At 55.6% G+C, this 14,951-nt stretch overlaps 1 long non-coding RNA gene across 2 annotated transcripts in view, besides 1 other annotated feature; it reads left to right on the forward strand.

The window, feature by feature from the left end:
• Nucleotides 11,791-11,962: a silencer, noted in NCBI's record as "fragment chrX:389565-389736 (GRCh37/hg19 assembly coordinates)". NCBI's record gives its function as "represses an EF-1alpha promoter that drives an FKBP-Casp9 reporter gene in an ReSE screen in K562 erythroleukemia cells {active_cell/tissue: K562}" and the evidence as "EXISTENCE:reporter gene assay evidence [ECO:0000049][PMID:32094911]".
• The window catches only part of LOC102724521 (uncharacterized), a 42,736-nt gene continuing 40,766 nt past the window's right edge, over nt 12,982-14,951 (forward strand). Inside the window, exon 1 of one of the 2 annotated variants that reach the window (XR_001755744.2) lies at nt 12,982-13,450. This is a non-coding gene — a long non-coding RNA (uncharacterized LOC102724521). The remainder of the gene's footprint in view (nt 13,451-14,951) is intronic. The other variant, XR_007068359.1, reaches the window with a different exon arrangement.

A 14,951-nucleotide genomic window follows, 5' to 3' on the forward strand; every position in this document is an offset into this window, starting at 1 on the left:
TCCCTATGTTGCCCACGCTGCTCTGAAACTCTGGGCTCCAGCGATCCTCCCATCTCGGCCTCCCAAAGTGCTGGGATTACAGGTGTGCAGTACGGCTCCCAGCCCTGATGTTGGGTTTGGAGAACAAGAGGGTGATACGTCGCCAAATTCAAACTCACGTCCTCCTGCTTCTGAGCATGTAGGGAGCTGGTGGGCGGGGAGGTGGGTGTGGGGCTGCGGCTCTGGGCTCCCCGGGTGCCCACGCTGAGCTGTCCAGGAGGCTGACAGGGAGGACGTCCCTTCGGTATCCCCCTTTTGCCACAGAAGAGCCCGTGTGGACCCCTGAGTCCCGGACCACCGGGCAGCCAACGCCATCTTGGGGTCTCCGGATTGAGACCCCAAGAGAGGGTACCTGGATCTCGTGCAAGAAAGAATTCACGGCAAGTTTGCAGTGCAAAATAAAAGCAAGTTTATTTAGAAAGTAAAATGGGGCCGGGCGCGGTGTTTCACGCCTGTCATCCCAGCAGTTTGGGAGGCCAGGGCGGGTGGATCACGAGGTCAGGAGATCGAGACCAGCCTGGCCAGCACGATGAAACTCCATCTCTACTAAAAATACAAAAAATTAGCCGGACGTGGTGGTGGGCACCTGTAGTCCCAGCTACTCGGGAGACCGAGGCAGGAGGATGGCGTGAACCCGGGAGGCGGAGGTTGCAGTGAGCTGAGATCGCGCCACTGCACTCCAGCCTGGGCGACAGAGCGAGACTCTGTCTCAAAAAAAAAAAAAAAAGAAAGAAAGAATTGTCTATACGGGTACACGTGCTCTGCTACAAAGGTTCGTGATAAAGGATTAATTTTCTTAATTACTATATTTTGCAAGAATCAGTATTATAGTTATTATTTTTTGAGATGGAGTCTCGCTCTGTCGCCCAGGCTGGAGTGCGGTGGCGCGATCTCGGCTCACTGCAACCTCCACCTCCCGGGTTCAAGCCATTCTCCTGCCTCAGCCTCCTGAGTAGCTGGGACTACAGGCACCCGCCACACCCGGCTAATCGTTGTACTTTTAATAGACACGGGTTTTACCATATTGGCCAGGCTGGTCTCGAACCCCTGACTACCTGATCCGCCCGCCTCGGCCTCCCAAAGTGCTGGGATGACAGGCGTGAAACACCGCGCCCGGCCGAGAATTGGTATTATGTTTAGAGCAAACTTAGGAAAATGCCTTTGTTCTCCAGATATTAAGATACCTGGACACTCCCAAGTCTGGGGCTGTTTAGTAAATACTTTTTTTTTTTTTTTGAGATGGAGTTTCGCTCTTGTTGCCCAGGCTGGAGTGCAGTGGTGCGATCTCAGCTCACCTCAACCTCCGCCTCCCGGGTTCAAGGAATTCTCCTGCCTCAGCCTCCCGAGTAGCTGGGATGACAGGCGCCCGCCACCACGCCCGGCTAATTTTGTATTTTTTTTAGTAGAGACGGGGTTTCTCCATGTTGGTCAGGCTGGCCTCGAACTGCCAACCTCATGTGATCCACCCACCTCAGCCTTCCAACGTGCTGGGATTACAGGCGTGAGCCACCGTGCCAGTAAACATTATCAATTTCTTCCTTTTTTTTTTTTTTTCTGAGATGGAGTCTCACTCTGTCCCCAGGCTGGAGTGCAGTGGTGCCATCTCTGCTCACCGCAACCTCCACCTCCCGGGTTCAAGTGATTCTCCCGCCTCAGCCTCCTGAGCAGCTGCGATTACAGGCACCCGCCACCACGCCCGGCTAATTTTTGTGTTTTTAGTAGAGACGGGGTTTCACCGTGTTGGCCAGGCTGGTCTCGAACTCCTGACCTCGTGATCCGCCCGCCTCGGCCTCCCAGAGCGCTGGGATTCCAGGCGTGAGCCGCATTCGTTCCCTTGACCGTAAACGTCTGCAGGCGAGGAATCAGCCGTCAGTCAAGAGGGAGTCACTGCGGTTCATTCGCCTCTGACAACGGGTCCTCCCGGACGCCGCGTGGCTTGTTCTGAAGCCGGGCCGGAGACACCGTCTGGACCCCACGCTGCTCCCCAGGGCCGCCTCCAAGAGGATGCCCCACCGCAGGGAGCCGTGCAAACACCATAAATCCTGCTAATTGCCACCTTCCCGGCAGCCAGCATCCGTGGTCTCTCTATAGTGGCCTCACGGTCTCCAGCCAGGAGCTCGATCTTTGCTTCTGCACAAACATTACCGAGAAACGTCTGCAAACCCCGGGCGCCCGGCTCCCACATCACAGGCGCTGCGCCTCAGAACACAACTTGTTTCTGCCGATCCACCCCCCACCGCCGCCTCCCCGGGCACCTCGCCACGCAGGACGCTCCGGGCTTCCCGTAAGAACACCCGTGTCTGTGACCTGCGGGTGGGGTCACCTCCCCGGCCTGCATGCCAGGTGAGGCGGGGGGGGCTCACCTGGGGCTCTCACCTGCCCGAGGGGGTCCTGCCCACGGCTCTGCGACAGAATAGAATGATCAGGGCGATGCGTGGCAGTGCCCTCTCCCTGCCCCAGCCCGAGGGCACCTGTTCCCCTCCTATCTCAGCCACTCTGCCCACGTCTGTCCCCACAAAACGCGGTCGGTGCAGCCCTGGGGCCCGGTCACCGTACCGCATCCTCCTGACAAAGACAGAAAGAAACCGGCTCTTTGATTCTAACATTAAAAAAAAAAGGGCTGCCTTCTGCTTGCAAAAGAAATGCACGCAGGCTGCTGGCAGAAAGTTCTGGAAGATGATAAAGGAAAAAAATAAATTAATTCGAGAAAACTTTGAGACGCCTAACAGCACAAATACCCTCAGTCTTTAGAGAACAGCTGGGGATACACATATTCTGGCTCATTTCCCCATGGAACTTTTATTTTTATTTTTTGAGATGAGTCTCTCTGTGTCGCCGAGGCTGGAGTGCAATGGTGCGATCTCAGCTCACTGCAACCTCCGCCTCCCGGGTTCAAGCGATCCTCCTGCCTCAGCCTCCCAATAGCTGAGACGACAGGCGCCTGCCACCACGCCCGGCTAATTTTTGTATATTTACTAGAGACGGGGTTTCACCGTGTTGGCCAGGCTGGTCTCAAGCTCCTGACCCCAGGTGATCCGCCCGCCTCGGCCTCCCAGAGTGCTGGGATTATGGGTGGGAGCCACCGCGCCCGGCCCCTCTTCCTTCCTTCCCTTCCTTCCTTCCCTTCCTTCCTTCCCTTCCTTCCTTCCCTTCCTTCCTTCCCTTCCTTCCTTCCCTTCCTTCCTTCCTTCCCTCCCTTCCCTCCCTCCCTTACCTCCCTTCCCTCCCTCCTTTCCTTTCCTTCCCTTCCTTTCCTTCCTTCCTTCTTTCTTTTTCCTTTTCTTTTTGAGATGTAGTCTCACTCTGTGGCCCAGGCTGGAGTGCAGTGGTGTGATCTCGGCTCACTGCAACCTCCGCCTCCCAGGTTCAAGCGATTCTCCTGCCTCAGCCTCCTGAGTAGCTGGGACGACAGACGCCCGCCACCATGCCCGGCTAATTTTTGTGTTTTTTTAGGTAGACATGAGGTTTCACCACATCGGCCAGGCCGGTCTCAAGCTCCTGACCTCCAGTGATCCGCCCGCCTCCGCCTCCCAAAGTGCTGGGATGACAGGCGTGAGCCACCGCGCTTGTCCTGCTCTGTAAATTTTGTTTTGGGCCAGGCGTGGTGGCTCACACCTGCAGTCCCAGCACTACGGGAGGCCGAGGCACGAGGGTCGCTGGAGGCCACGAGTTTGAGTCCCCCAGCCTGGGTAACGTAACGAGACCGTGTCTTTAAAAATCATAAAAGACAGATCAGCTGGGCGTAGTGACACGGGTGCCTGTCGCCCCGGCTCCTGAAGAGGCTGAGGTGGGAGGATCGCTTTAGCCCAGGAGTTGGAGGCTGTAGCGAGCTGTGATCTCACCACCGCACTCCAGCCTGGGCGACAGAGCAAGATCTTGTCTCGAAAACAAAACAAAACAAAACACAAAAATTTAAAAAACAGATTGAGAACCCTTGGCCCCCACCTCTTACCAGCTCGGTCACAATTGCAAACCAGAGGCCGGGCACGGTGGCTCACGCCTGTCATCCCAGCGCTTCGGGAGGCCGAGGCGGGTGGATCATGAGGTCAGGAGCTCGAGAACATCCTGGCCAACATGGAGAAACCCCATCTCTACTGAAAATACAAACTTAGCCGGGCGTGGTGGCTCACGCCTGTCATCCGAGCACTTTGGGAGGCCGAGGCGGGCGGATCACGAGGTCAGGAGCTCAAAAGCAGCCTGACCAACATGGAGAAAGCCTGTCTCTACTAAAAATACCAACTTAGCCGGGCATGGTGGTGCACGCCTGTCATCCCAGCGCTTCGGGAGGCCGAGGCGGGCGGATCATGAGGTAGGGAGCTCGAGACCAGCCTGACCAACATGGAGAAACCCTGTCTCTACTAAAAATACAAAATTAGCCGGGCGTGGTGGTGGCAGGTGCCTGCAATCCCAGTTACTCAGGAGAGGCTGAGGCAGGAGAATCGCTTGAACCCGGGAGGCGGAGGTTGCAGTGAGCCGAGATCGCACCCCTGCACTCCAGGCTGGGCAACAGAGCAAAAACTCTGTCTCAAAAATAATATAATAATAATAATAATAATAATAATAATAATAAAAACAACTGTTTTCATGCTGCAGACAGCACACAGGCCAGGACGTCAGGGTCTCGTGAGGGGCCGTCGGAGAACGTCTAAGGGACGTCCCTGCATTCCTGGCTGGAGGTCCTGCGCCAGCGCCCTCCTTGTGAGAACACTTTCGCTCTGCAAACTCTCAGAGCCCCCACCTGCTCCCGCCTCCCGTCTGTCCTGGTTCTTGGGACCCCGGAGCCTTCTCTGTCCAGACCTCCCAGGTCCTGACGGGAATCCGGATAAACTCCTTGGGGCGAAGGTGTTAACGGCAGGGCCCCTGTCTAATGTATTTCGCCACCCAGATAAAATGAGTGTTTTCACAGCTGCCGTTAATTTCTTACCCTGAGGAAGAAAGGAAGGACTTTGAGGCACCTGCGGCCGGGTTGGGGTGGGGCAGGGGGATTTCTGGACGCGGACGGCGTGTGGGGAGTTCCTGGGGTCCCCAGAGCCACACCACGTAGGTGGCAGCCGGCTCCGTCCTGCAAAGCCCCGGCTTCGGTGAAAGATTTATCACCTGCTCGGCCTCGGAGACGGGGAAGAAAAACACAGCCTGGAAGTGGTCCTGGCTGATGGACGGGCCCCTGGGGAGCTGTCCCCAAATGCGCGTCTTCTTTCTCCTTTCTGTCACAGCCTCCCGGCCCTGCCCTGGCTGAGTGGGGCTTTCAGTGAACGCTTGTTGAGTGTCCACGGAGCTGTGAGTGCTGTTCCGGGTGCTGGGTACGTGGTGGGGTGTGTGAGGTTCCCTCCTCTCTAGTGCAGAGATCAGGAGTGAGTAGACAAAGAAAATAGCATCTAACTGCTGCTTGTGATGAGTTTTTTTTTTTTTTTTTTTTGAGACAGAGTCTTGCTCTTGTTACCCAGGCTGGAGAGCAATGGCGTGATCTTGGCTCACGGCAACCTCTGCTTCCGGGTTCAAGGCATCCTCCTGCCTCAGTCTCCCGAGTAGCTGGGAGTACAGGCACCTGCCACCACGCCTGGGTAATTTTGTATTTTTAGTAGAGACGGGGTTTCACCATGTTGGTCAGCCTGGTCTGGAACTCCTGACCTCAGGTGATCCATCCATCTCGGCCTCTTAAAGTGCTGGGATTACAGGCGTGAGCCGCCATGTCTGGCCTTTTTCTTTTTTTTTTTTTTTTTTTTGAGATGGTCTTGCTCTCATTGCCCAGGCTGGAGTGCAATGGTGCAATCTTGGCTCACTGCAACTTCTGCTTCCGGGTTCAAGGCATCCTCCTGCCTCAGCCTCCCGAGTAGCTGGGATTACACGTGTGCACCACCATGCCCGGCTAATTTTGTATTTTTAGTAGAGACTGGGTTTCACTATCTTAGTTAGGCTGGTCTCGAACTCCCAACCTCATGATCTGCCCGCCTCAGCCTCCCAAAGTGCTGGGATGACAGGCATGAGCCACCGCACCTGGCCTATTTTTTTTTTTTTTTTTGAGACAGAGTCTTGCTCTTACTGTGTAGGCTGGAGTACAGTGGGCGAACTCGGCTCACTGCAACCTCTGCTCCGGGGTTCAAGGCATCCTCCTGCCTCAGCCTCCCGAGTAGCTGGGATTACAGGCGCCCACCACCACTCCTGGGTAATTTTGTATTGTTAGTAGAGACTGGGTTTCACTATGTTAGTCAGGCTGGTCTCGAACTCCTGACCTCAGGTGATCCACCCACCTCGGCCTCCCAAAGTGCTGCGATGACAGGCGTGAGCCACCGTGCGTGGCCTTTTTTTTTTTTTTTTTGAGATGGAGTCTTGCTCTCATTGCCCAGGCTAGAGTGCAATGGGCGAACTCGGCTCACTGCAACCTCCACTCCCGGGTTCAAGGGATCCTCCTGCCTCAGCCTCCTGAGTAGCTGGAATGGCAGGTGCATGTCACCATGTTTGGCTAATTTTTTTTTTTTTTTTTCATAAAGACAGAGTCTTGCTAGGTTTCCCAGGCTGGTCTCAAACTCCTGGCCTCAAGTCATCCTCCCACCTCAGCCTCCCGAAGTGCTGGGATTCCAGGCGTGAGCCACCGTACCTGGCCCCTTCAGCATTTTTAAAATATCATTACCCCTTCAAAGACACCTCCAGGAGCAGCCAAAGTTGGTACCCTTGTTATTCCCCATCTCAACACCCCGTGAATTCATTTCTCCAAAAGAACTCATCACAAGCAGGCCACGTGCGGTGGCTCACACCAGTCATCCCAGCACTTTGGGAGGACAAGGCGGGTGGATCATCTGAGGTCAAGAGTTCGAGACCAGCCTGGCTAACACGGTGAAACCCCATCTCTACTAAAAATACAAAAAATTAGCCGGGCATGGTGGCGGGCACCTGTAGTCCCAGCTACTCGGGAGGCTGAGGCAGGAGAATCACTTGAACCCGGGAGGCAGAGGTTGCAGTGAGCCAAGATCGTGCCACTGCCCTCCAGCCTGGGCAACAGAGCGAGACTCCGTCTCCAAAAAAAAAAAAAAGTGCTGAAAAGAAGCAAGAAGGAGGAGCTGGCTGTGCGCAGGGAAAAGCAATGCAGGAAGAAGGATCAGCGTGTGCAAAGACTCTGAGCTGGGAAAAACCTCTGTGTATTCCGAGAACCGAGACAGGGAGGCAGGCTTAGGGTGGAGAGGAGGATGGCAAGGTGGAGGGTTGAAGGGTTTCCCAGCAGCCTGCAGGGCTGATTGGGAGCTCAGATACTCCATGACAAGGACAAAGGGAAGGGGTCTGTATGCAGCTGTGTCTCCGCTCTCTTTCTTGCTCAGAGCATGGAGACCTCGAGTCCAGCTTCCTTTGCGTGCGTAGGGGCCTCTCTGGGTGATGGAGCCCTCCCGAGTGGTAGGTTGGGAGAACCACAGAATTAACCGCACCCTCCAGAGTCTCTCCCAACCAAGGGCTGTCGACGGTGGGTGCATAAATACCTGGGAGGGGCCGGGTGCGGTGGTTCACGCCTGTCATCCCAGCACTTTGGGAGGACAAGGCGGGCGGATCACCTGAGGTCAAGAGTTCGAGACCAGCCTGGTCAACATGGTGCAACCCCCCCGCCTCTGCTAAAAATACAAAAAATTAGCTGGGTGTGGTGGCGGGCGCCTGTAATCCCAGCTAGTCGAGAGGCTGAGGCAGGAGAATCGCTTGAACCCGGGAGGCAGAGGTTGCAGTGAGCTGAGATGGCACCACTGCACTCCAGCCTGGGTGAGAGAAAGAAACTGTCTAAAATAAACAGGGAAAACACCTCTGGGGCTTATGTCTTTCCCGCCTGCATCCGATGAACCTTAGGTGACCGCTGGGGACGGTACTGAGGGTTCCAGGCAGAGGAAAGCCACATCTGCATGCAGAGAAAACTCCAGTGGGGACAGAGGGGGTGCATCGTGTTTAGAAGCCACGTGGGGGGTGGGGGGGCAGGTGTGTCTCATCGCACACGTGTGAACGGAGTGCCGGGGGCCCCTCTTCTCCTGAGCCCCCAAAGGCACGAGCCGGTGGGTCTCGGGAGTTGTGGGGCGATTCCTGGAGGTGGCTCTGTGCAAAGTGTTGTCATATCAGCCAGGAAAACACCCCCTTGCCACAGCCTCAAGTCAACCCAATCTCGTCTGAAAGGTTTGGATGGAGGTGGGGGGGTCCCTGGCTTCCGTCGCTGGAGCGGTGGCCGCAGGGCTGGTCTTCACTGTCATCGTGATGTCACCATCGTCCTCACGTTGGGTGTCTCCCTGGATTCTCGGCTCTCCAGGGAGGCGGCGACGGCCCATCCCACCAGCTGCCCACGGAGGCGGGGTCCCCGGGATGCAGGCTTGACCTCAGAGGAAAACCCACCTGAGCCATTCTAGGGGGAGGGGACACCAGGACCCCCCAAAGGCCTGGTCGGCTGAGGTCATGGTTCATCCCGGGGTTGGGGGAGGGGACACCAGGACCCCCCAAAGGCCTGGTCGGCTGAGGTCATGGTTCATCCCGGGGTTGGGGGAGGGGACACCAGGACCCCCCAAAGGCCTGGTCGGCTGAGGTCATGGTTTATCCCGGGGTTGGGGGAGGGGACACCAGGACCCCCCAAAGGCCCGGTCAGCTGAGGTCATGGTTCATCCCGGGGTTGGAGCAGAACGGGCCGTGGAGGATGGGCTCAGGGAGTGTTTGTTCATGGCGTGAATTCACACGGAATCTTCCTGCCTCCCTCCTTCCTTCCTTCTTTCCTCCCTCCCTCCGTCCTTTCGTTCCCTCCTTCCTTCCAATTTCCTCCCTCTCTCCCTCCCTGCCTTTCTTTGTGGACAGCCTGGCATCTGCACCGTGTCCTGGCTGAGCCTCCTGCCAGCTCTGCGGCCTCGTTGAGGGGGGCGGGGTGCGTGTCTCACCATCTTTGCACCTCAGCTTCCCCATCTGTGACGCAGGGACGGCAACAGGCACCCCTCGAGGTCACCCCTCCAGCATTTGTTTACAGCTGTCTCACATGAACTTAGATCCATGGAAGAGCGTCACCCTGACTCGTCAACCTGCAAAAACGGCCCAGGACAGAGAGGGGGGCCCTTGGGATGGTGGCGGCCGGGACCCGAGGCTGTTGTCCGGTCGTAGAGCCTTAGAGGCTGTTGGCGGTGTAGACGCGGGTCCCAGGCTGCAAGCTGCCTCTCTCCTCTGCCTCAGGCTCTTCTTTTCTATTTATTTATTTTTAAGACAGGGTCTCGCTCTGTCACCCAGGCTGGAGTGCAGTGGTGCCATCTCGGCTCACAGCAGCCTCCAACTCCTGGGCTCAAGCCGTCCTCCCGCCTCAGCCTCCCGAGCAGCGGAGACCACAGGCATGTGCCGGGCTAATTTTCTAATGTTTTGTAGAGATGACGTCTTTGCTACGTTGCCCAGGCTGGTGTTGAACTCCTGGGCTCAAGGCCTCCTCTCGCTCTGGTCTCCCAAAGTGCTGGGATTAGAGGTGTGAGCCACCGCGTCTGGCCAAGACGTCTTTTGGGGGGGACATAATTCTCAACCAAATTGCCTCTGTCTCTCCTTCTCACTCTCTCTCTCTCCACACACACACACACACACACACACACACACACAGCTTGTATGTATATACGCATTTATACAGGTGTGGAGGTGTTTGTGCATATATAGATATATATGATATATACGTATATTTAAGCCATTAGAACATGATTTCCATTGCTAATATTTCAGTGAATATCTCTTTTCTAGCTCTAACTCCACACACACACACAGACACACAGACACATCCCTTGTATGTATATATGCATTTATACAGGTGTGGAGGTATTTGTGCATATAGAGATATATATGATCTAGATGTATATTTAACCCATTAGAAAATGATTTTCATGCTGATAGTACTTCAGTGAATATCTCTTAAAAATATTGATCGCACACGTCCCTCATGAAAAGCAATGGTTCCCTAAACACAGACTGTCTGGTCCATCTCGGAGTTTCCACAGTCGTGACTCACATGCAAGCAATGTACAACTATGGCAGGGCTGGGCTCCTTCCCTCCCAGACAGGCTCAAGGTTATGCTCCCTGTGCCGGGATCAGAATCTGGAATCAGGACGGCCACTCCAGTGACATGAAAGGCACACGGGTGACAGGACGGACACCCCAGAGACAGGACGGACGCCCCAGAGACAGGACGGACGCCCCAGAGACAGCACGGAGACCCCAGAGACAGCACGGACACCCCCAGAGACAGGACGGACACCCCAGAGACAGGACTGATGCCCCAGAGACAGGACGGACGCCCCCAGAGACAGCACGGAGACCCCAGAGACAGGACGGACGCCCCAGAGACAGGACTGATGCCCCAGAGACAGGACGGACGCCCCCAGAGACAGCACAGAGACCCCAGAGACAGGACGGACGCCCCAGAGACAGGACGGAGACCCCAGAGACAGCACGGATGCCCCAGAGACAGGACGGAGGCCCCAGAGACAGCACGGACGCCCCAGAGACAGGACGGACGCCCCAGAGACAGGACGGACACCCCAGAGACAGCACGGACGCCCCAGAGACAGGACGGACGCCCCAGAGACAGGATGGAGGCCCCAGAGACAGCACGGACGCCCCAGAGACAGGACGGACGCCCCAGAGACAGCACGGACGCCCCAGAGACAGGACGGACGCCCCAGAGACAGGACGGGCGCCCCAGAGACAGGACGGACGCCCCAGAGACAGGACGGACACCCCAGAGACAGCACGGACGCCCCAGAGACAGGACGGCCGCCCCGGCCCCGCGTTTTCCATGACATATTTTCTCTTCGGCCACAGGATGGCAGTGCCAGCTACGGAAACGGTGGACCGTTGTCGGACCCTTTGCTGAGTTTTGAAACACGTCACTGCCTTCAGCCTTGTGGGTCCCCGGGCTGCGAACCCCGGGACCGCCTTCCCGCCTCGTGGGCCGGGGCTCAGGTCTTTACATTCATCCCAAACCGGGTTCAAGCCCCATCCCTCCCCCGGCTGCCAACCCCGTGCCGTTCAGGCCCCGTAACCGGCTACTTCGGAACTGACGTCGTGAAACCTTTGCTCGACTGTGTTTCTGACGCTCCCGTCACAGAACAGAAGCTGTCGGGAGTGAGCAATGGTCTAGCCCAGGAGAGGAAAATCAGCCGCGTTTCACTTTGCACCGTCATCTCCTCAGCCGCCCCGTTCCCTCCCACACTTGCAAGATTCCGAGGGAGGAAGCCGCTTCTCGGACCCGGGTCCCAAGCTGTGCAGAAAAGGCCAAGGACACATTTCCGTGTCTGTAGACGCAGCAGGCGGCCGCCAGGGCCTCTTGGGCAAAAGACTCCCATTCCCGGCTTTGCCTGCAGACACCCCTCCTCACACGGGCTCTGGAGGTCTGTTGGGGTTTTCCTCAAAAAGTTTATTTTTTTTGTGGTTTGCTTTTCTAGACAGGGTCTCATTCTGTCATCCGGGGGCTGGAGCACGGCGGGAATGATCTCGGCTCAGAGCAGCCTCCGGCTACTGTGGCCTCAAGTGATCCTCCCGCCTCAGCCTCCCGAGTAGCCGGGACCAGAGGCACCTGCCACCACGCCCAACTCATTTTTTTGTATTTTTTTGTATTTTTTGTAGAGACGGGGTTTCTCCATGTTGCCTGGGCTGGTCTTGAACTCCTGGGATCAAGCCGTCCAGCACCTCAGCCTCCCAACGTGCCGGGATGACGGGTGTGAGCCACCGCACCGGGCCTATTTTATTTTATTATTTCTTTTGTAGAAATTGTTTAAGTGGCTACAAAAGTCCACAAACATCCTCCCTGAGATTCTCCCTTAGAATAATCGTCTTCGTGGGCACACAGCATGTGCTGCTGCTGACCTGAGTGGCCTCGGCTCGACGTCTAGACGGCTCAGCGTTTGGACAGTTTCCAATCAGGGTCTGTCACCCAGGCTGGAGTCTGGGTGTGATCTCGGCTCACTGCAGCCTGTTTCCTCCCTCCCTTCCTTTCCTCCCTCCTTCCTTTCCTCCGTCCCTCCTTTCCTCCCTCCTTCCTTTCCTCCCTCCCTGCCTCTCTTCCTTCCTTTCTTCCTGGACAGCCTGGCATCTGCACCGTGTCCTGGCTGAGCCTCCTGCCAGCTCTGTGGCCTCGTTGAGGGGGGCGTGTCTCACCATCTTTGCACCCCAGTTTCCCCATCTGTGAGGCAGGGACGGAAACAGGCACCCCTCGAGGTCACCCCTCCAGCATTTGTTTACAGCTGTCTCACATGAACTTAGATCCATGGAAAAGCGTCACCCTGACTCGTCGAGCTGCAAAAACGGCCCAGGACAGAGAGGGGGGCCCTTGGGATGGTGGCGGCCGGGACCCGAGGCTGTTGTCCAGTCATAGAACCTCAGAGCCTGTTCAAATCAGGGTCTCGCTCTGTCACCCAGGCTGGAGTCTGGGTGTGATGTCGGCTCACCGCAGCCTCCACCTCCTGGGCTCGAGCGATTCTCCTGCCTCAGCCTCCGGAGGAGCTGGGACCACAGGTGCCCGCCACCACGCTGGGCCGATTTTTACAGTTTTTGTAGAGATGGGGCCTCACTGTGTTGTCCAGGCTGGTCTTGAACTGTTAACCTCAAGCGATCCTCCTGCCTCGGCCATCCAGGGTCCTGCAATGATGGGCGTGAGCCACTGTGCCTGGCCTATTTTTTATTGCTGAGGGTTTTGCAGAAATCATGTAAGAAGTGGCCGGACGCAGTGACTCACGCCTGTCATCCCAGCACTCTGGGAGGCCGAGGCGGGTGGATCACCAGAAGTCAGGAGTTCGAGACCAGCCTGGGCAACATGGCGAAACCCCGTCTCTACTAAAATACGAAAGAAATTGGCTGGGAGTGGTGGCAGGTGCCTGTAGTTCCAGCTACTCAGGAGGTTGAGGCAGGAGAATTGCTTGAACCTGGGAGGTGGAGGTTGCAGTGAGCTGAGATCGCACCATTGCACTCCAGCCTGGGCAACGAGAGTGAAACTCCATCTCAAAAAAAGAAAAAAAGGCTGGACACAGTGGCTCACGCCTGTCATCCCAGCACTTTGGGAGGCTGAGGCGGACAGATTGCCTGAGCTCAGGAGTTCGAGACCAGCCTGGCCAACATGTTGAAACCCCGTCTCTACTAAAATACAAAAGAAATTAGCTGGGAGTGGTGGCAGGTGCCTGTAATCCCAGCTACTCAGGAGGCTGAGGCAGGAGAATTGCTTGAACCTGGGACACGGAGGTTGCAGTGAGACGAGATTGCCCCATCGCACTCCAGCCTGCAACAGAGCGAGACTCCTTAACAAGGGAGGCTATTCTGACACCTGCTACCATGTGGAAGAAGCTTGACAATATTGACCAATCAGCCAGACACAGAAAGACAAGTCCTGTGTGATTCCACTTCGAGGAGGTCCCTCGAGTCACCAGAGTCACAGAGACAGAAAGTATAACGGTGGGTGCCGGGGGCTGAGGAGGGCGAATGGAGCTGTCGTTGAAGGGGGGGGTCGCAGTTTCGGGTTTAGAAGTGGAATTTTGGAGACAAATCACGGGGATGGTTGCAGAAAAGTGTGAGCGTGCTTGTTACCCCGGAACTGTGCACATAAAGATGTCTCACCTGTTGGCCGGGCGCGGTGGCTCACGCCTGTCATCCCAGCACTTGGGGAGGCCGAGGTGGGTGGATCACTTGAGGTCAGGAGATCAAGACCAGCCTGGCTAACATGGTGAAACCCCGTCTCTACTAAAAATACAAGAAAAAAATTAGCCGGGTGTGGTGGCGGGCACCTGTAGTCCCAGCTGCTCGGGAGGCTGAGGCAGGAGAATGGCATGAACCCGGGAGGCGGAGGTTGCAGTGAGCTGAGATCGCACCACTGCACTCCAGCCTGGGCGACAGAGCGAGACTCCATCTCAAACAAACAAAAAAGGGCTCGTGTGTATGAGGCTGGGGACGCAGGAGAGGGTCTCTCCCCCTGAAACTCGGGGGGTCCTGGGAAAGAATCCAGCCTCCAGCCTGGCCCTGGGAACCCTGGACCAGGCAGGGGGTCACTGCCCCCTTCCTGGGGAGTCTCAGCTGAAAATAGCTCATCTCACAGGGGACCCGCACGGCTGACGTCCAGGACGAGCCCGAGACTCCTCAAGAAAAGCCTCGTGTTAAACACACGTGTGTCTCCTCGCCTGCCGGTTTAATGCCCAGTCGTGGGGTCCTGGGTTGTGGCCACGAAGTCCTATTCCTCTGTCGCCAGGGTGAGAAGGTGGCTGTCGGCAGGGATTTTGGGATCAGGCAGGTGACTTCTCACGAAGGCTGGTTTCTCAGCCTCACATCTGCCGACATCGGGGGCTGGAGGATTCTCCGTCGTGGGGCGTCCTGTGCCCTGTGGGGTGTCGGGGACATGTTCTCACTCGGAGGACACATTGATTCAAACCATAGGATACACAGTTGATTCATACATGTATGATTGATAGGTGATTGGTTGACAGATAGTTGATGGATAGATATTGATATAGATGCATGATTAATAGGTGATTGACAGATGATAGACATTAATATAAATGTATGATTGATTGGTTGACAGATGATAGATAATTGATATAGATGCATGATTAATAGGTGATTGACAGATAATTGATAGGCATTAATATAAATGTATGATTGATAGATGATTGGTTGACAGATAATTGATATAGACACATGATTAATAGGTGATTGACAGATAATTGATAGACATTAATAGAAATGTATGATTGATGATTGGTTGACAGATGATTGATAATTGATATAGATGCATGATTAATAGATGGTTGATAATTGACAGATAATTGGTATAGATGCATGATTGATAGATGATTTATTGACAGACAATTGATACATAAGCGATACAGATGCATGATTGATAGGGAATTGATTGACAGATGATTGATAATTTATATAGATGTATGACTGATCAGTGATTGGTTGA

Source organism: Homo sapiens, chromosome X, assembly GCF_000001405.40.
Source record: "Homo sapiens chromosome X, GRCh38.p14 Primary Assembly".
NCBI classification, from domain to species: domain Eukaryota; kingdom Metazoa; phylum Chordata; class Mammalia; order Primates; family Hominidae; genus Homo; species Homo sapiens.